The following is a 22,251-nucleotide window of genomic DNA, read 5'->3' as shown; positions in this document are numbered from 1 at the left end:
CATTACTTGATTTCAAACTAAACTATGAGGCCATAGTCACCAAAATAGCATGGTACTGATATAAAAATAGGCATATAGACTAATGGAACAGAATAGGGAACCTAGAAATAAACCCAACTATTTACAGCCAACTGATCTTTGACAAAGCAAACAAAAATATAAAATGGGAAAAGGACATTTTATTTAACAAATAGTGCTGGGATAATTGGCAAGCCATATGTACGAGAATGAAACTGGATCCCCATCTCTCACCTTATGCAAAAATCAACTCAAGGTGGATCAAGGACTTAAATCTAAGTCCTGAAACCATAAAAATTCTAGAAGATAACATCAGAAAAACCCTTCTAGATTTTGGCTTAGGCAAGGATTTCAAGACCAAAAACTCAAAAGCAAATGCAATAAAAACAAAGATAAATAGGTGGGACTTAATTAAACTAAAGAACTTTTACATGGCAAAAAGAACAGTCAGCAGAGTAAACAGACAACCCACGGAGTGGGAGAAAATCTTCACAATCTATACATCTGACAATGAATTAGCTTTTTGATGTGCTGCTGGATTCGGTTTGCTAATATTTTGTTGAGGATTTTTGCATCTATGTACATTGAGTGTATTGGCCTAAAGTTTTCTTTTTTTGTTCTGTCTCTGTCAGGTTTTGGTATCAAGATAATGCTAGCCTCATAGAATGATTTAGGGAGGAGTCCTTCCTCCTCAACTTTTGGAAGTAATTTCAATAGGAATGGTACCATCTCTTCTTTATGTATCTGGTAGAATTTGGCTGTGAATCTGGTCTTGGGCTTTTTCTGGTTGGTAGGCATTTTATTACTGATTCAATATCAGAAATTATTATAGCTCTGTTCAGGGATTCAGTCTCTTCTTGGTTCAGTCTTGGGAGGTTGAATGCTTTCAGGAATTTATCCATTTCTTATAGGTTTTCTAGTTTGTTTGCACAGAGGTGTCCTTAGTAGTATCTGAGGTTCTTTTGCATTTCTGTGGAGTTGGTGGTAAATTCTCATTTTCATTTCTGATTGTACTTATTTGGATCTTCTCTCTTTTTTTCTTTATTAGTCTATCTAGTGTTCTATCAACCTTATCTATCCTTTCAAAAATCCACTCCTCAATTCATTGATCTTTTGTATTTATTTATTTATTTATTTTGCATCTTAACTTCCTCCATTTAAATTCTGATTTTGGTTATTTCATTTCTCCTGCTAGCTTTGGGGTTGGTTTACTCTTATATCTCTAGTTCCTCTAGATATGATGCTAGGTTGTTACTTTGAGATCTTGTAACTTTTTGATGTGAATGTTTAGCCTTATAAACTTCCCTCTTAACACTGCTTTAGACGTGTCTCCGATATTCTGGTATTTTCTATCTTTGTTCTCATTCGTTTCAAAGAATTTCTTGATTTCTGCTTTAATTTCATTGTTTACCCAAAAGCCATTCAGGGCATGTTATTTACTTTCCATGTAATTGTATGGATTTAAGGGATCTTCTTAGTATTGATTTCTATTTTTATTGCACTGTGGTCTGAGACTGTGTTTAGTATGATTTTGGCTTCTCTGGATTTGCTGAGGATTCTTTTATCCAATTTTGTGGACAGTTTCAGAATATTTGCCATGTGGCAATGAGAAGAATATATATTCTGTTGTTTTGGGGTAGGGAGTTCTGTAGATGTCTATTAGGTCCATTTGGTCAAGCGTCAAGTTCAGGTCCTGAATATCTCTGTTAGTTTTCTGCCTCAGTGATCTAATACTGTCAATGCTCTATTGAAGTCTACTGCTATTATTGTGTTGGAATCTATGTCTCTTCATAGGTCTGTAAGAGCTTGCTTTATGTATTTGGGTGCTCCTGTATTGGGTACATATATATTTAGGATACCTAGGACTTTCTGAAGTCCTCTCATAATGGGCTTATCATGCCTGATTAAATGAGTATTTTCAAATACTAACACACAAGGTATACTTTAATATAACTGTATCGATGTATCCAATTATATACAGGTTAAAAGGAAAACAGATTTTTATTAAATAATGTAAATAACTACATGCCATGAAAAGTAAGGAGACTCAGTAAAAGTATTCTTTTTTTCTGAATTCTAATGGAGTCCACAAAAATCAGGTATCATTTAAAAATGTTTAATTCAACCCACAGATGTAAAATCTTCTAAATTAAGAGTTACATATTGTATAAAAAGAAAGAGAAAGGACTTTTTTCGTATTTATTAAAAACGTAATTAAAATAATGCCTACCATATTCCAAAAAAGTAATCACAATTTAATTTTTTTCTCAGTTTTTTTTCAGTCCTAGTAATTCTTCTTTTGTTTGATCTTGTGTCAAGCATTCTTTTTTAAGGAAGTATGTTTGCTTCTGAACTAAAAAGAGTCTTGGAAATCCTGCCTCAAGCCACTGGTACAGTCTGAAAGTTGACAAAAGAATAACACCTCAGAGGATTCAATTCAAGGGTCCATTGTTTGAAATATCAAAGTTCACAGTGTCTAATAGGGTTCTTTCCAGATGCCTTCAGCAAGCATAAAGAAGCAACAATCTGCTTCATAATGAGATTAATTTATTAGTATAACCAATAATGTAAGAATGGAGGAGGGCAAAATTTTCTATTGGAATACTAACAAAATGAATAGGAAATCTATGGAATGAGAGGGAAAAAAATTCAAATCATATATCTGATAATGGGTTAAATGGGTTAACTTTCAAAATATATAAGGAACCCCTACAACTCAGTTGGAAAAAATCAAATACCTGATTTTAAAACTGACTTAAAAATTTTTTTTTAAGATTCTATTTTTGGAAGGCAAAAGCAAGAGTTGCCACTGGTTACTCCATTAAATAGCATTATATGCCCAAGAAGTAATACTCAGTTACACTTATGTAATCAAAATGACAAGCAAATATTTTAAAATTAGCATTAGAAAAGGTAACATAACTGTAAAGTCAACACAAAGCAGAGAGAAATATTCTAGTGAGTCATCAAATAACTGCTATCTGGACGGACGCATTGCAACAAAAGGTAAGTAATAATCTCATAACCTTTGTTAAGCACTCTAAAAACAATATGTCATTTAAAAAAAAGAAAGTAAAATTATTTCTGTATAAATATATTTGGCAGTAATCTTTTATAAACCTTTAAATTAATAAGCCAATTAAAATTAAGCCAAAGGTGACATTAGCACAAAAGGCAGAGTAAGGAACTCTAAAATACCTCCATGCTCACGAGTTGGAAGACTTAATCGGATAAAGATAACAAAGATAGTCCCCAAATTGATGTACAGATTCAACACAATTCCATCAAAATTACGACCGTCTTTTATACAGAAAGGACAGACTGATTCTTAGATTCATTTGGATATTATAAAGATTCATATTAGTCACAACAATGTTGAAGGGAAAAAAAGAACTAAGAGCTTTTCTACTTTCTAATTTTGAAACTTACCACACAAGCTGTAGCAATCTCAAGACAGCATGGTACTAGCATAAGGATAGATATATAGATCAATGGAAGAACATTGAGAGTCCATAAATAAATCCACACATTTTTGGTCAGTTTATTTTTGAAAAGGGTGCCAAGAACATTTAATGGGGAAAGGATAATATTTTCAACATAAATGATGAAAAAAACAAATACCCATATGCAAAAGAAAGATTGGAGTTGGACCCCTAACACACATTATATACAAAAAATTAACTCAAATCGATTACAAACCCAAATGTAAGAGCTAAAATAATAAAACTCCTAGGAGGAGACATAGGTATAAATCCTTGGGACCTTGGATTAGGCAATAATTTATTAAATATGACATCAGAAGCACAATGAACCAAAAAATGTTTTAAATTGTATTTTATTAAAACTAAAAACTTCTATGTGTCTCAGGACGCTATCATGCATGAAGAGACAACCCACAGAACAGGAGTAAATATTTGCAAATTATATATCTGATAAAGATCAAAGATCCAAAATATGTAAAGAACTCTTACAATTCAACAATAAAAAGATAAACAATTGAATTAAAAGATGGGCAAAGGAATTCAACAGACATTCCTCTAAAGATGATACATAAATGGTCAGTAAGCACATGAGAATATGCTCAAAATCATTATTCACTAGGAAAATACAAATTAAAACCATAAAGAGATACCTCTTTATATCCACTATGGCTATCATTCTAAAAATTAAATATAGACAGAATAACAAATGTTGCCAAAAATGTGGAGAAAATGGGATGTTCATACACTGCTGGTGGGAATTTAAAATGTTTCAGCCACTGTGAAAAATAGTCTGGCAGTTCTGCAAAAAGTTAAACACTGAGCTACCATATGACCCACAGATTCACTCCTGTATATATTCCCCCAAAAAATGAAATCATATGCTCATGCAAACACTTGTATACAAATATTTATAGCAGAATTATTCACAATAGCTAATAAATGAGAATAACTCAAATGTCTATCAACTGAGGAATGGATAAACAAAATGTGGTATGTCCATACATTGGAATATTGTTCAATATCGTTCACTCATGTAAAGGAATGAAGTACTATATATATGCTACAACATGGAAGAACTTTGAAAACATCACGCTATGTGAAAGAAGCCACACAACATAGGCCACATATATTATGATTCTATTAATATGAAATGTCCAAATAGGTAAATTCATAAAAATATAAAGTAGATTAGTGTTTGCAGAGAATGCACGAATTAGTATTTCTACTTGTTGAAAATAGGAAGTGACTACTAACATGTATGTAGTTTCTTTTGGGGGTGATGGAAATGTTCCATAATTTCATAGTGGTAATAATTACATAACACCATGAGCATACTAACAGCCACTGAATTGTACACTGTAATGTAATAAATGTTATGTAATGGGAATTTGTGTCCATTTAAAAATTGTAAAAAATAGCCAACTATGGAAAAAATTTACTGGTTTTTTTTTTCAGATTCAATGTTATAAATGAAGGAAATAATTTCCTTTCCTGCAAACTTTATTGCACATTCATTCAGATTTTCTCTTTCACTGTCCCATTTCACATTCTGGAAAAATCAGATATTTTAAGACAAAACTACTCTTTTCCTCATTTGGAAAACATTTGTCCTATTATCTTGCATAGACAGTTATGTTTTTTGTCACTACTGTTTCTACCATGGCCTCAACTATACATATTAGTTATAACATTTAATGAAAGAAAATAACTAACATAAAAAAACTAGAAAAGATGATTGGCTACTTTCTTTCTTATACAGTGAATCCTAAAATGGCCTTGAAATCTGGTACCAGCTCCTCTATGATGCAGTCTAAGAGCAGTCTTGCCCTCACAGGGACCTAATGGGAGAAATGCTCACAAGTGCCCTGGTAGGCTGAACTTGGTCCCACTGTGGATCTTAAAACAGCACTGTATACTGGCTCCAGGCCCTCTCATCTGTGATTTGAGAGCAGGCCTGCCCACTCAGGGACCCAGTGGGACACATGCCCATTCATGAACCCAGAGGCAGGCCTGAAGACCTGGGTCTCAGCTGTAGGCCCTGAGGCAGCCCTGTTACTTGGTTCTCTTTTCTCTCAGCTGCAATCTGGACCAGCACTGTCTGCCTAGGAACCTACCCAGTGACCCAGTAGGAGCCCTCCTAAGGACCCAGAGGAAGCCACATTCATCCACATATCTCGTAACTAGCCTACAATCTGTGGACTCTAAAGTAGACCCTCATCCCAGTGCCAGACCTACTGACCAAGGTCTAGGAGGCAGTCCAATTTACCCAGGGAACAGACAGAATCTAAGCCTACTAGAGCCCCAGTTAACAGGCCTGCCAACCACAGACCTCACTGTTGACCCAGCAAAACCATGTGACCTGGCTCTACCTCCAGTTGACCACAATTCTGGAAGCAATCTTGTCAATCCTGGGAACCCAACAGGAGGATCCTGAGGATCTTTACCTGTAAAACCAGTCTATAAAGATGGGAAAAGGTGTTTGCTCCTTCAGATGCATAGAAACCAATGCAAAGTTACACAGATAATGATGAACCAGGCAAACATAATACCACCAAAGGAAACCAATGAAGTTCCAGTAACTAATCTCCACCCCAAATGGAGATCTACAAATTTCCCCCCAAAATTCAAAATAATCATCTTAAAGATGCTCAGTAAGATGCAAGAAAACACAGATAGACAACTAAATAAAATTAGAAAAACAATGTATGAACAAAATGAGAAGTTTAATAAAGAAATAGAAACCATTAAGAAAAAACACACAAAAATTATATAAGAACAGAACTGAATATTTTAATGGAGAGCTTCAACAGCAAACACAGTCACACAAAAGAAAGAATTAGTAACTTGAAGACAGGTCATGTAAATAGTTAATTAAAGGTGAAAAAAGAAAAAAAATTAAAGAAGAGTGAAGAAAGTATAAGGGACCTATGGAATACCATCAAGCATGCAAATACACATATTATGGGAGTCCTAGAAGGAGAAAAGAGGGAAATGAGCAGAAAGCTTATTTAAAGGAATACTGGAAGAAAAATGTAAAAGCTAGAGTATTGGTGGCAATATGGGGATACGAAAATCCTCATGCACTACTGGTAGAATTGTGGTGTGATGCAACCATTCTGGAGAGTTATTTGTCACTATTTAGTCACTTAAGTACATGCCTCTCATACAACAATCTCACTCCTGTGTATGCGTCTTGCAAGAGGATTTACCTGTCTCAAAGGGTATATGTAAAAAGATATTTATCAAAGCATTATTTCCTCATGGCAGGACAATAGAGACAATCCTGTTTTTATCATTAGGAGAGTGGAAACATTAAACCTCTTGGATGATCACCAAAGAGGGCTATACTGTAATAAAATGCAATTAATAAAATACATACATATAAACATATAAACATGGGAGGATGTTTTAAAACTAGCAATAACTAAAAAGAATAAGAAACAGGCAAGGTCTTTTTCCAATACTCTTTATATAAAATAAAAATACACACTTAAGACTTTCCTTTCCAGTAATGGTATACAAGGTAATTGAGACCAAACTTCCCACTTAAATTAGGAATGGTTGGTTATATATATATTCACTGGAGGTATTGAAAAGCAAAGACTGTGAAGAATTATGAATCCAAAGTTCAGAAGCAACATAGCAACCCAAAGGGGCAATTCTGTGTTTAAGGGCACTTTCCCCTTAGGGTATTTAACAGCTCCAGAATATTTGGCTGAGAGATTTAGAAGCACATTTTAAAGCCTTTAGTAAATAAAATTGCAGCGTCTAGAGTCCAAGGCTCATGAAACTGGGGCAAGGAGATGTTCCTGATAGACCCTTTACATATTGTGTTGAGATATCAAACTGATGGTAGAATTCAAATGGTCCATAAACATATGAAAAGATGTGTAAAGTCATTAATAATGAAAATTAAGGCAAGATACTGCTTCACTCATCAGATTGATAAAAAGTAAAATGCCTAGCAGAGTAAAACGATGGTAAATATATAATAAACTGAAAATATCCACTGTTGCAGATGGGTATTCAAATCCATGTAATACTCTGAAGAGCAATTTACCAATCTGATAGATTTCAAGATGTACATACATATATAGCCTATAACCCAATCTCTGCTATATACCCTAGAGAAAGTCTTGCAAATATGCTTAAGTAGACATACCGTATTTGTAGCAGTATTATTTGTAATGTTGAAAACTATGAAGAATCCAAAATTCAGCACTAGGGGAATAGAGTAACAGGTTCGGCCACATTCATACAATAGAATGTCGTATAGATGGTCATTAAAATTAATAAATTTTATCCTCATTATCAATGCTAATAAGTCTTAAAACCATAATAGTGATGACATATTTTACAATATGTGCATACCACTTATACATATAAAATACAAAACACAAAATTATGCTATATATTATTTACATAAATATGGATTAAAAACATAAACACATCTTGAAGAATACATATCAACTTCCTAATCCCACAACATTGGAAGGGAAATGAGATTGGAGAGAATTACAAAGGAAACTCCAACCATATTTGTCTTGATTTATTTCTTTTTTTGGGTTGGTGGATCTGGTAAAAACTGGAAAAGCTTCTAGACAAATTTTAAAAGAGCACTACCATTGCCATCTTTCATTTCTTAAGAAGAAATGACCTTAAACAAACTTGGCAAGTGTTTAATTTTATTAAAGTTGGGTGCATGTAAGGTACGAGTGTCTTTTATCTTGCTCTCTATATTTGTGAGTATATATATATATAACATTTCATAATTTAAAAGAAATTATTTCATTCTATGATAATGTGACAAAAGAAACAAAGATGTGAAATAAAAACTAATAGGAAGGAATCCACTTTCAGCAGTGTGGCCAGGAATTTGCTCTCCAAAGAAGGGATGATTAGGCTGAAATATGGAGAAAGAGAAAGAAAGTTGATTTAAAAAGTTTCAAGCAATACAGTATGTAAACAGACACCAATGTCTGCAGTCTAAGGATGGCATTAAATCTGCTGGTGGTTTATATGTGATCATCATTGTACTACAAGTTCTATGAGAGCATGGATACTGAATATCCTGTTCAATATTGTATTTTCATCACCAGAATAGCACTTAGCACACAGTATGGCTCAAAAAAAAAATCTCAGATAAAGTCAATGACATGGTTTAAGGGACTCAAACGTTAGAGTGCTCAGACAGTAACAAGGACAGATAGGATCAACTAAGAATCTGATCAGGTCAATGCTGTGAAATAGACAAGTGTGATCTTTGATAACTCCTTTCTAAAATCTCTTTGATCTTTTATCTCTTTTATCTTTCATTGATCCTCTACTCTTGAAATCCTTATTTTATATCACTTTCTTCCAGGACCATGTACTCAATCAACTGCTAAAAAAGAAAACCCAAAAACCCTAAAGTCTATAGTTATAACTCACTCAGTCCCAGAAATGAATCTGCAATGCATGAGCTACTATCATGGTAACATGTCCCTGACATTCTTTGTCAGCATCCTTTGTCACCTGCTTGTAAGGATTTTGAAAGAGATGGAGAAAGGTAGGTTGAAGGTTCCTTATCAGGAGGTTTGCTGTCAAAGCTCATTCTAAATGGAATACAAATTTTATCTTCCAGACATGCCTCAGTACCTATCAGAATTTAGCCTTGAGAAAAATGAGGCAACCACTGAGAGTAATGACCCTTTTAGGGAATCTGTGCTCAATTCTGAACTCTATTCAGAGGCCTTGGGGTGGGGCTTGTTTGTACATAGTGGCCACATAAAGCCTGGTAAACTCAGCTGGTCTCCAGGGCGAGGCTGAGGGCAGAGAGTTGGACACAACCCTGAGATTTATCCCTCACAATGCGGAAAGACAGACTTCTTCATTTATGTCTTGTGCTACTTCTTATCCTGCTTTCTGCCAGTGACTCAAACTCTACAGAACCGTAAGTCTCACTCAAGACCCCTTCCTCCAGAGTGCGTTTCAGTCTCTCCCTTGTGTCTTCGCTTTGCCTTCCTTTGTAAATGCCACCTTTCCACTCATTACAATACCTTCCAAATATAAGAAATTATTCCAGTTAATCCCTTGTTTGTCTTTCATTTATCCTCTATTCTTGAAATCATTTTTTCTACACTGGGCCAATCAGAGTCATAAATACGATTAGTCACTAGGAAGCATGATTAAATAAAACACTAGATCCCAACTTCACAGAACAGTTCTTTTGGATGGAAGGCACTGAATATAGAGATATTCGAAATATATAGTGAAGTGCAACTTAACATGTATTGTAGGCCATATATATATATACAGAAAGTATAGCTCCTTTATTTTTCAATCATGTATCAAGTCTTCACCAACAGCCCCCAGTGGGGGACCAAAGCAGGGAAAATAATTTTAACCCTATCCAGTTGTAAGTTGGTACAACTCAATAATTGTAAGACTTCTTTTCCACCTCTCCCCAGTTCCTCTCCTCTATAGTGTCTAGAGAACTGTGGTCTCCATTAACTCCTAATAGAGAAAACTGTCAGAGTCCTTGGTCTCAAAGTTCTCCGTCCTTCTTGGCTACTGTCAGTCTGACTTCTCCTTACTTGCTGGCATGCACTGTTGAAGTTTAGCCATCTGGTTTCTCTTGTGTGTTCAGGACCCAACAGTCCTCTCTAACTGACTGTCTCACTTCAGCTGTTTCATATCCCATAGAACTCCTACCTTTGCATCCTGCCTCAAATACTATGGCTATTGTTTCAACACAGCCTGTGATGCAGGGTCACCTTGCCCCTTTGCAGTCCAGGCCATTTAAGGTCCCTGGCCTTAACCCAGCTGCCTTTACATTTCTTCCAGAGAATGGTGAGAACTCTTGGGTCCAATAATAGCACATAGGCACTGAGGTGTCCTGGAGAGGTTAAACTTCTACCTCTCTCTTGCATACCCACACTGCACTTCTAGATGCCTATCGTGTCTCCTGTATTCCAGACTGATACAGGGAAGTCTTCAGAGTCCCAAATCGGGAAAGGGATAAGGGGTCCCTCTGCTCTGTGTGTTACCCTTATCCATCTAACACAAATAGCCTTCTTCAGGCCAAAGCGCAGAAAGCAGAAATAAGGAGTTCAATCCAGTAAGTCTCCTGCTTTCCTCAGGCTTTTTCCTTGCACAATTTCCTGGCAACCGGTAGGGGTACATTTCTCCCCCACTATCCCTCTACCTCATCTACAGCAGTGGGCTCTACTACTTCCAGCTGCTCTCCATCCAGAAAGCATATGGGAATATGTGGAGGCTATTTTGCTTTCTGAGAGCAGACTGAATGGATAAAGCGAGTAGCGTGTATTGGGTCAGAAACATTAAGCAATTTGTGGTTCTGGATGCATTCCTACACTACATTGGACCATGCTGCCATTGAAACCATCCTTTTACGTTGTGTCTGCCACTGAACAAAGAACAACAAGCCTCATGCCCTAGTTGTCACAAGCAGAAGGGGTGTTTTCTCCCTTTATAAGGAGAAAACTTAACTTCATCCCTCCAGAATTAACCCTTGATGTGATAAATGTGAGAGACTACAAAAGAGAACCAATAGCCATTCTCCCCTGCCTTGGGGCAGTAAGCTTCAGAAAGATGAAGGTTTCAGGGGAATAAAATGAAAAAGAGAAAATTAAAAGTTATCACTTTAATATTTGCTACATTTAGTCCCTGCTAAAGAGGCAAATATTTAAAATGCAAACATTCATGATTGAGTAAACATATATTAAAACATTTTAGCAGCTCACTACCAATGACATCTTGGGCAAGTTTGTCAACCTGGATTTGTTCTGATTTCAATATCTGTTAAAAAAATATTAACTGAACTCATATAAAATAGTTCTTTAGAATATCAAATATATGTGGAATTAATTTTTAATCGTGATATCTTTTAGGCTTATAATTTATAAGAATAAAAATAGTAAATAAATTATAAATATATATATACCTTCTTATTAAGATCAAAGAACTAAAGGAAAAATTTTTTGATGGGGATGTAAAAAATGATACATTTTTATTATTTATTATGCTGTTAAAAGAGCAGTGATCAGGAGATCAGAAGCATCCAGATACCAGAAAAAGATTAAGACATAAGAGACTAGCTGAATGACTATCAGTGAGTTACTGAACTGCCCTCAGCTTCTCTGCTAGAGAACAAAACCTTACTACTCATACAGTAAAATCATCTGAAACTTGGATGATTTCAGAGTGGCCCTGGAGATTCATGGCATATAGTTTTGCCCAGGAACACTTTAAAACACATGTAGCAAGACTGGTGTGCTGGAGCAGACTACATGGAGGATGAGGGGACCAAATTTGAGTTCCACATTCCACAACTCAATTATCCTTGGATTCTCTCCTCCTAGTCTCACACCTATTAATTTTGTAAAGCAACAATATTGGGTTTCTTGTGTCAAATTGCCTGTCCAGAAAACAATTTAAAAAGTAAGAGTTTATGTTGGCAATGGAAAGTAAGGGTAGTAAAATAATATAAGAAAATAATAGTTTTTACTTGCAAATTTACTCTATAAATGGCCTAACCCTGCAGATATTGAATCATGAATCACTGAATCATTAAAGCTTTGAAGAGTTACATTTTAGTCACAATTTACTGATTTTACTGATTTGGCATGGGGGCAGGGATTTTATCTATCTGTTATGGATTCAAGTTTTGGGGACTGATGAGGATCTCATGTTTTAGCTTCCATGAACATGGAGAGTATCATGCATGTACCTTACAGCATTGCTGGGAAGATTAAATGGCTTAATACAGAGACAGCTTAACAATTCTTGTCATGTGGCAGATGCTCAAAAACAGCAACAACAAAAACACATTCTCTTTCAGCCCATGGGATTTCAGAGTGTGGAGAGATTATATTGAATTGGAGGCTTCTGGAAAGTGACAGGAAAATATGGAGTGGGGGGCATTAGAGACAAAGGACACTCATCAATAAAGCTAAGGCCAGAATGTGAGGCTTACACAAAAAATTGCCTGTGCCTCTGAAAAACTGAAAACTTTCAACAATTTAAATAAAAAAGAAAAGACTTTTCAAAATAATATGACTTTTAGTACTCATATAAACTTTGTTTTGTTTTTTTTTGAAACAGGGTCTCACTCTGTCACTCTGAAAGCACTGGTGCAATCATAGCTCACTGTAGCCTCAACCTCGTGGGCTTAAGTGATCCTTCTTGCCTCAGCCTCCTGAGTAACTGCTACTACAGCCATGTGCCACCTGGCTAAATTTTTTATTTTAATTTTTGTAGAGATGGGGGACCTCACAATGTTGTGCAGGCTGTTCTCAAACTCCTGGCCTCAAGTGACTCTCCTGCCTCAGCCTCCCAAAGTGCCGGGAACTAGGTATAAGCCACTTCTCCCAGCCTGAACCTGTTTGTTTTTTTTTATTGAAAAGATAACCTATCCACCCATGTGATTCGAAACAAACATGTTTATAAACATGGACATACTAATATTAAATTATTAATGTTAATTGCCTCAAGAAATTGAGCATAAAGGGAAATGATAATAAAATACAGTGTGTGTTTGTGTAGTGTGTGTGTAGCAGGGAGTTGTGCATGTAAATAATTGACAAAATTTTCAAACTCGTTGATAAAATATTGACTTTGACTGAGCTGTATCTGAGGAGCCTAAGAGAAACAGCAAATACTTTTTTTCAGTGTTGCTGATATTAAGAAAATGATTTTGCAATATAGACATGTGTTATTTTGTGTAATGATATATGCTTACTGAAGTTCTTTCAGTTGAATTTCTGTAAATCTAGTCACGGTGTTCATTCCAAAGTGATGTTTATCTAGACAGATTTTAATGTAAGTCCTTTTTACAATGAATAATCACTCCCAATTTTTTATATATGTGTGTGTGTTTGTGTGCGTGCACTTTTATGGATATATATTCAAGAATTCAGATTCTTTTTAAAGGTCAAAGTTAAAGTTTAAAGAGCTCAGACTGCTCTTTACAGCAAGGAATGCCTGTGAAATTGTAACATCTTGGAAAGCAATCTCCAGTGTTGTATGGCTCCAGATTGTGTGGCTGAGGCATGGCTGATGAGTAAAAGATAAAATTTTTGTGCTGATCTGTGACAGAACCTCCATTGACTTAGTCCATTGACTTTTAGAATAAAACTGATTGCACCAATTAATACATATTGTTATGAAAACACATTTATGGATGAAAACGCTTACTATCATCAGTTTTTCTCTAATTTAGACTTCTTCCTTTCCCAGGCAGTATATGGTGCTGGTCCCCTCCCTGCTCCACACTGAGGCCCCTAAGAAGGGCTGTGTCCTTCTGAGCCACCTGAATGAGACAGTGACTGTAAGTGCTTCCTTGGAGTCTGGCAGGGAAAACAGGAGCCTCTTCACTGACCTGGTGGCGGAGAAGGACTTATTCCACTGTGTCTCCTTCACTGTGAGTGCTACGGTGCCAGCTGGCTATCCCTGCTTGATACATTTTATTGAGCTCTATAGGTCATGGTGATGGAGCTCTGGTGTGCGATCCCAAGGTATGACTTTAAGAATGTAGTTAGGACTTCAGGGGCCAGGTGCGGTGGCTCACGCCTGTAATCCCAGCACTTTGGGAAGCCAAGGCGGGCAGATCACGAGGTCAGGAGATCGAGACCATCCTGGCTAACAAGATGAAACCCCGTCTCTACCAAAAATACAAAAAATTAGCCGGGCGTAGTGGCAGGCGCCCGTAGTCCCAGCTACCTGGGAGGCTGAGGCAGGAGAATGGCGTGAACCCGGGAGGCGAAGTTTGCAGTGAGCCGAGATCGCCCCACTGCACTCCAGCCTGGGCGACAGAGCGAGACTCCGTCTCAAAAAAAAAAAAAAAAAAAAAAGGAATGTAGTTAGGACTTCAGAAAGGACTAAAAATAGTGAGTTTTCAACTATTAAGGAACAAAGCATTTTTTACCAGAGTAAGGAAGAAATACTCTTCTAAATTTCATTCCTAAATAATAATCCTATTGCCCACAAAAATTTCATGACTTAGAGGAGTTTTCTAGTTTTGATTGTAACTGTCTCTTTAAGGATCGGGCTGGACATTTCCTAGAAATAGATCATATGAAAATTTCATGATAAAAACTTTGCATGCAACATAATTTTTTGCACATGCAGGATACCCTAAGCAAACACCTAGTACCTCTTTAAAGTTGCCTAACTTGGGAAACTCAGCTCCTATGCTCTCCCATATTTTTTCAGAGATGTTTCTCTCCATTGCTTCAGAATATACATACTCAGTTAAAAGGCATCTAATTTAATAACTAGAGCTCTAGGTGAACTCCATGGAGATCTGGGTTCTATTGATGGCCACTCTTACTGATACCATTCCTCCATCTCACATTAATATCGTCACTCTTATGTCTGAAGAAATAGTCACACCTTCCTTCTCCTTGGTGAAGCTGAAGGAGAGATAGGAAATAGCAATGACTGAAGAATGCAGAGGGAGAAGACTGCACAGTTCCTCAGTAGTAAAAAATCCTTTGCTTTTTAGCTCCCAAGGATCTCAGCCTCTTCAGAGGTGGCATTCCTTAGCATCCAGATAAAGGGGCCTACGCAAGATTTCAGGAAGAGGAACACAGTTCTGGTACTGAACACCCAAAGTCTGGTCTTTGTCCAGACAGACAAACCCATGTATAAACCAGGACAGACAGGTAAGTAGGGAAATTCCACTGTTTGGGGCAACACTGAGAAGGGCCACCTGAACAGCCAAAGTCTCCATTATCCTAGCCCCGTAGCCTCCTGTCTTATTACCCAAATTACCTGCTTTATCATGTCTGAATCTTATCGGAGAACTACTTTTCCAGTAAGATTCCGTGTTGTCTCCGTGGATGAAAATTTTCGCCCTCGAAATGAACTGGTAAGCATCCACTATCTGTGGTTTGGGTTGTGGGTAGAGTGGGAATACTCACCCAGAGTGAGGTAGAAAGGTACAAGAAAAGCGAGAGGATGAAAGACACTTGTTTTTGAACTTGGCTCCAGCCTCAGCACAGATTTGCAGTCTTATACAAAACAAAAATTGAGGGACAAGAGATGAGGAAGTTCTTTCTCTTATAACAGTATTTAATCAGTCTGGCAATAGCTGCATTTGTTACTCTGAACACACTGCATTAAGAATATTAAAGAAGCATAGAAAAAAGGCACTATTCCTATTCATACTTTCAAGGAATTTATGATTAAAAAAGCAACACAGAATTATGCTTTTATGAATATATAGGTATATACAATAGACCATATTATAATTTTATTATATATTCGATACATATAGTATAGAAATATATTATACACAAAGACTTTTTTATGCTAATTGAATTTCCCTTTTTTCAACTTACCTTCAATATTAGTGCAAAGGAACAAAGCTGCTTTTAATAGGTAGAAAATAGACAATGTTGAAATTAGAAGAAATATTCTTGGTTTACTTTCAACCAAATGATTCTGGGAATTCTATTTCTGTTAGGTCTAAATCATAATGACATATAACTCTATTAATATCTATTTCCCAACTTATGAAAGTAAGCAGTATAGTCATATTATTCACTAGGAGAATTTTAGTATCCAAATAATATTAATACTTAAAGATTCAATAATATCATTCACCAATAATAATTTTCAGGGAAATGGCAACACATAATAATAATTATTGAATATATTGTGTATGCTCATCCTAGAACTATTTAATAATTTCCCTGAGATTTTTCCAGTTCTGTTATGTTTCTTGTTGAATTTAGCTACAGATAATATTCTTCCTCAGTTTGTTGTTTGATCACAAGTCTGAAATTGTAGCCTTTGCTGGAATTCTAATCACATCTCTTCTTTCCTTTTATCATATAGATTCCACTGATATACCTTGAGGTAAGTATCAGAAAAAGTATCTTATAAGGAAATTAGTGCTTTTAGAGAGTAGGAGGTTCTGATAATACTCTAGACAGATGAACTACTTTAAAAATTTTCAGATCTGAATTCCTCCTACTCCCAGTTGTCAGGTTGATTGTATTTTCTCTTCCTTCTGTATTTGTCTTTCCAGAGGCAATGCTAATTATCACCTTCAAAATCATTTGAGTTGCTCAAGGACTATTGTGACTAAATGATTACCGCCCATGTTTCTTGTTTCCCTTCAGAACCCAAGAAGAAATCGAATTGCACAATGGCAGAGTCTCAAGCTAGAAGCTGGCATCAATCAGTTGTCCTTTCCCCTCTCATCAGAGCCCATTCAGGGCTCCTACAGGGTGGTGGTACAGACAGAATCAGGTGGAAGGATACAGCACCCCTTCACCGTGGAGGAATTTGGTATGGATTATGGAAGATGAAAAAGGCATAACATTTTGGTTCCTAGAGTGTGAGCTCACTTAGATCCTTTGAATTTCCTGTAGATATGTTGAACTTGCAGTAGAGTCAGACTTACTGCTTCTAAGACCATTAGGACGGTGTGAACACAGAAGCTCATAAGAGCTTGCTGATTTTCAGTAGCAAATTACGCTTTGCCAAGTATGAAACTTCTTGTTTCAGTGAAACCACCATCATTTGTTAACGTCACTGAGACCCGCTGTGCTCAAGAAGTCAGTTAGATTCTGCATGAATTGTTAAACCTTACCATCTTAAAGTTGATACATTGGAAAGTAAATCTAACATTCAGAGTGTTATTTTGGGAAAAATTATAGACATACTGAAATTATTTGTATTTCCAATAAATGTTTACCAACCTTCCTTATTCCTATTATCTCTATTAACAGTGCTTCCCAAGTTTGAGGTCAAAGTTCAGGTGCCAAAGATAATCAGTATCATGGATGAAAAAGTGAACATAACAGTCTGTGGAGAGTGAGTTACATTGTTTTTATCTAAAATTTTATATTTTGCCTCAATTTTGAGGGATTATGTAGGTACAAAATTATAAATTTACTTTGCCTCAGCACTTTTGTAATATTACTCCTTTGACTTCTCTTTATTTAACGACTTACTATTAAAATTTTCAAATACATAAAAGAATAGAAACACACTTAATTATGATTTAACAATAAACATCTTTCCGTATTGTTTCATCATATATTTTGCTTTAACATCTTAGGATAAATCACAAAGATCATGATATTTTTCTGTACATGCAGTAGTATGTACCTCTAAAATACAGAGACATTGTCCACTTCTGCGACAACACGATCACTTAACAAAATTGGAAGTAATTTTCCAAAACTAATTGCAAGTTTACAGTCAAGTATCTTCAATTGTCCTAAAAATGGTCTCATAAAGCTGGGTGTTCGCACATTGGTTTTGGTTATTATGACTCCTAAGTACCTTTTCTTTTTCCAAACTCTCTACAACGGAAATTTTCAATCACGTGCCAAAGTTAACAGAGAAGTAAAACACAATTTCATGTACCTATCACCTATTTTTAAAATTGTAAAATTTGCCAGGTTCTTTTTGTCCCATTTCCTCCTCTACAGTAGTTTTTTTGCTCTAATATTTTAAAGCAAGCCATAGGAATCTATAAATATCTTAGAGGTTTAAAAGTCTATAACCTCCTTTTTTTAATGACATTTCGCTGAAGATCATCAGTTGGCCTCTAGAAGTCTTGCTTGCAGAATCTGCCTGTTTGTTTTCTCATGGAACATTGAATTAATTATGCCTAATCTTTCCTCTGGGCAATTTTAAGAGGATACATTGAATGTTTTACATTGATCTTTTTGATAGAACAATTGTTCAATAACCAGAAATAGTGCAATGGTAGAACAAATTGTTTAATAACCTGAAATAATCTCTCCCCCAGAAATTTCCACTCCAGGAAATTTCACTTTCTCCTTTTCTTCATATGTATACCATAAATACTAATCCTGTCATTGAGGAAGGAGGATGCGCTGATACGATGGACTAAAAATGTGACAGAGAAACCTAAAGATCACAGGTCACAATTACTGGGCAAAAGCCAATGATTAGGATTTTATAGAAGTGACTTAAACATAATATAAATGATCCAGTGACTGATGTCATGATTATGAAGGGTACTAGACTCAGAATCGGCAGTGATGAGTGTGCCTCCCCTATCAGAACTTACTGTTTTCACTAGGCATTCTGCTGCTTCTCTGTGCCTCCATCTCTTAAGCAGTAGACAGAGGGCATGAACCTTACCTATGATGTTCCTTTCCACTGTTGCCCTCTGTGATTACAGATACCTCTTACAGTTCCTTTTAACCTGAAGAAGCAAAACTGATAGCCTACAAACAAACAGTCCCAGAGGGAGCACGCAGGGTAAAGGAATATGCCAGCCTAAATATTATATACCAGAAACACCAAAACGCCTAGATCTCTGCCTCATTTCAGCCTCAGAGCAATGGCCAAGGAGTTATGTGTCCAAATTAATAGTGCCGTAGTGCAGATATCTATATGTTGGAGAAGGGCTTCAGAATAAGCTGCTTTGATTCTATCTTTTTATTTGAAGTAATTTCAGAGCCATTTGCAAATAGGAAAGAAAACCAATGTCCAAAACAAAATTATTGTGTATTATTCTGTTACCCATTATCTAATCAGAGAAAGGACTAATATAACATGTGCACACACACATAACCCCACTAATTATTTTGTATTTACATGCCTCATGTGTTCCTAGGCTTCTTTTTCTCCCTCTCTCTCCCTTCTCTTCTCTGTGCATGTGTGTCAGTGCACGTGTGCGTGTGTCTGTGCATTTTGTGTTAGATTTGCTTAGTTATTATGTACTTATTTTTATTCAATTCATCATCTACATTTGCTCACTTGGTATACAGAATAAGCTTTGATATTATTAAAACAAAATAAAGAAGAATGATAGAAAATAAGTAGGTTAAAAGGAAGAAACATTTTTTTAGTAGACAGAGTCTCTCACCCAGGCTGGAGTGCAGTGGAGCAATCTTAGCTCACTGTAGCCTCAAACTCCTGGGCTTATGTGAATCTCCTGCCTAAACCTCCTTAAGTAGCTAGGACTACAGGTGCATGTCACCATACCCAGCTAATCTTTTTAAAAAGCTTGTAGAGATTGGGTCCTGCTATGTTACCCATGCTAGTTGGGAACTTTTGGCCTCAAGCAATCCTTCTTGGCTTCCCAAAGTGTTGGGGTTGCAGGCATGAGCCAAAGCACCTGGCCAAAGGAAAAACATATATATATATATGTTTGCATATATATATGACTGCACTGTACCACCACATTCTCTTTGGGATTAAATATATATATAATATATATTAATATATAATATATAAATATGTAATATAAATATAATATATAGATAACTTATATAATATATAATATAAATATATATAATTTATATATTATTAATATTTATATTATATATTATATATAATTAATATTATATATTATATATTGTATAATATATAATTATATATATTATGTATTGTATAATATATAATTATATATATTATGTATTGTATAATATATAATTATATATATTATGTATTGTATAATATATAATTATATATATTATGTATTGTATAATATATAATTATATATATTATGTATTGTATAATATATATAATAATTTTATATTATATTATATAATATAATATATAATATAATATATAAATATATAATATATATTATATTTATATATTATATTATGTCATATATTATATATTACATTATATATTATTAATCAGTACTCTAATAATTAATAATTATTTTCAACATTATACATAATATATTTATATATAATATATTATATTATTATATATTATATTATTATATATTATTAAGCAGTACTCCAATAATTAATAATTATTTTAATTAAACATTAAAATATAATAATTATAATATTATATATTAAATATATAAAAATATTTATATAAATATATATATTCAATCCCAAAGAGAATGTGGTGGTACAGTGCAGTCAAGTTTCAAAGGTTTTAATGGCTAATATTTTTGAGGGAGACATTTTCCAGACAGCTTTCTACTTGGTGGGCACCCAGATGATAAAGATGTGTAGGCAACTCTAAAGAGGGACAGTTCTGTGGAGGAGTGGTAGTGGAAAATGCAAACAGCCATTCTCAATTCCTGATTTATTTCTCATGTACCAGATACACTTATGGGAAGCCTGTCCCAGGACTTGCAACTGTGAGCCTGTGTAGAAAATTATCTCGTGTTCTTAATTGTGACAAGCAGGAGGTCTGTGAGGAATTCAGTCAACAGGTTAGTAGGCGGTATTCTCCCTCAGTGCTATCACTGTTTACAACCAGTGAGACTCCATTTTACTAACTAGAAAGAGGGCATCAGGACAAGCTTGTCGCAAAATATCCCCCACCAAAAAACGAATTTCTGTTCTTAGTCAACAAGATTCTCATTTGGACGACTAACTTTGGAGGTTACAAAGCAGATATGAGTATTAAGTTCTCGAAGGTCAATTAACTTACTTAATGCAAAAAAAAAGTTTTCTTGTCATTAGAGACAGAATAGTAGATTCAGTGACTATTGATCTCAATCAGTTTGACATTTATTGGTTTTGGTATTTTTCTCAGCTTAACAGCAATGGCTGCATCACCCAACAAGTACACACCAAAATGCTCCAGATTACAAATACGGGCTTTGAAATGAAGCTTAGAGTGGAAGCCAGGATCAGAGAAGAGGGGACAGGTGTGAGTAATGAACGAATATGGGAAATAAAACAATAGTTTACTTTCCATAACAAAATAAAGGTCATTTGTAAGAAAGAAATTTTATGACTAAAGTAACTTCTAAAAGTACTGACTCTTTATATTTTTCAGACCTGGAAGTCACTGCAAACAGGATCAGTGAAATCACAAACATTGTATCCAAACTCAAATTCGTGAAAGTGGATTCACACTTTAGACAAGGAATCCCCTTTTTTGCACAGGTAAGATATGTTGTAATGCACAGGTAAGCAAAGTATCCAGTTGCACCTAAGCACAGGACACAATGATGCAGCCCACACTTGGTTAGTGTTATCAGTTAATTAATATGACCAAAAACCATGAAACCAAGGAGAAATACTTTCCTTTCTAAATATCACTGATGAAACAAACAGACACATACTAAATTATTATGAGAATCAGAGATAATATTTTAATATGTAGCTAATAAAGATACTTAATGTAATGTGACTTAGTTGTTATATCAAACCTCTTCTTTCATGCAGTTTAGAATAAATGATATTTCTATCATGACCTGGGCAGCATCAGAATTTTCAGAGTTTGTAACATTTATGGCTGTCAGTGTTCTTTTTATATCTGTTGATCTCTTCTGACATAAATAAATAAGTCTTTAATTTTAGGCATAGGTATTAAAATAACATGCATTTCATGGTTATTATTATTATATTTTTATATGTTTAACTTATATATTTTAACAATAATAAAGCCAATAAAATATTAATTTTATTCATATTGATAATTAATTTTACCTGTTTTATAATTAGTAAATTGAGACATTTGGCCAGGCATAGTGGCTCATGCTTATAATCCCAGAACTTTGGGAGGCCAAGGGGGGAGGATCGCCTGAGGCCAGGAGTTCTAGATCGGCCCTAGTAACATAGTAAGACTCTACCTCTGCAAAAAAAAAAAAAAAAAAAAAAATTAGCAGTGGGCTGGTGGCGTGCACCTGTAGTCCCAGCTGCTTGGGAAGCTGAGGTGGGAGGATCCCTCGAGCCCAGAACTTCGATGCTGCTGTGAGTTATAATGGCACCACTGCACTCCAGCCTGGGCAACAGAGACCAGTTGTGAAAGAAAAGAAAAGAAGGAAAGGGGA

At 35.3% G+C, this 22,251-nt stretch overlaps 2 protein-coding genes across 9 annotated transcripts in view; one reads left to right on the top strand and one right to left on the bottom strand.

The window, feature by feature from the left end:
* Window positions 1–2,120: 2,120 nt before the first annotated feature.
* KLRG1 (killer cell lectin like receptor G1) overlaps window positions 2,121–22,251 on the bottom strand; it is a 265,527-nt gene continuing 245,396 nt past the window's right edge. The window contains exon 7 of the mRNA XM_017018685.2: window positions 2,121–2,415. The gene's annotated coding sequence lies outside the window, so the exon portion shown is untranslated. The remainder of the gene's footprint in view (window positions 2,416–22,251) is intronic.
* The window catches only part of PZP (PZP alpha-2-macroglobulin like), a 71,924-nt gene continuing 58,968 nt past the window's right edge, over window positions 9,296–22,251 (top strand). For 7 of the 8 annotated variants that reach the window (XR_001748834.2, XM_047429274.1, XM_017019763.2 and 4 more), the window contains exons 1-10: window positions 9,296–9,432; window positions 13,740–13,923; window positions 15,007–15,166; window positions 15,320–15,372; window positions 16,344–16,364; window positions 16,631–16,799; window positions 17,243–17,327; window positions 20,568–20,679; window positions 21,006–21,120; window positions 21,252–21,361. Coding sequence is in view for 7 of the 8 variants with exons in the window: in XM_047429274.1 (XP_047285230.1) it covers window positions 9,350–9,432; window positions 13,740–13,923; window positions 15,007–15,166; window positions 15,320–15,372; window positions 16,344–16,364; window positions 16,631–16,799; window positions 17,243–17,327; window positions 20,568–20,679; window positions 21,006–21,120; window positions 21,252–21,361 (1,092 nt within the window). In the remaining variant the exon portion in view is untranslated. Of the gene's footprint in view, window positions 9,433–13,739; window positions 13,924–15,006; window positions 15,373–16,343; window positions 16,365–16,630; window positions 16,800–17,242; window positions 17,328–20,567; window positions 20,680–21,005; window positions 21,121–21,251; window positions 21,362–22,251 lie in introns of those variants that run through there. The other variant, XM_024449111.1, reaches the window with a different exon arrangement.

This window comes from Homo sapiens, chromosome 12 (genome assembly GCF_000001405.40).
Source record: "Homo sapiens chromosome 12, GRCh38.p14 Primary Assembly".
Lineage (NCBI taxonomy): Eukaryota > Metazoa > Chordata > Mammalia > Primates > Hominidae > Homo > Homo sapiens.
The sequence above is the reverse complement of the archived record's forward strand: the minus strand, read 5'-3'. Positions and strand labels throughout refer to the sequence as shown.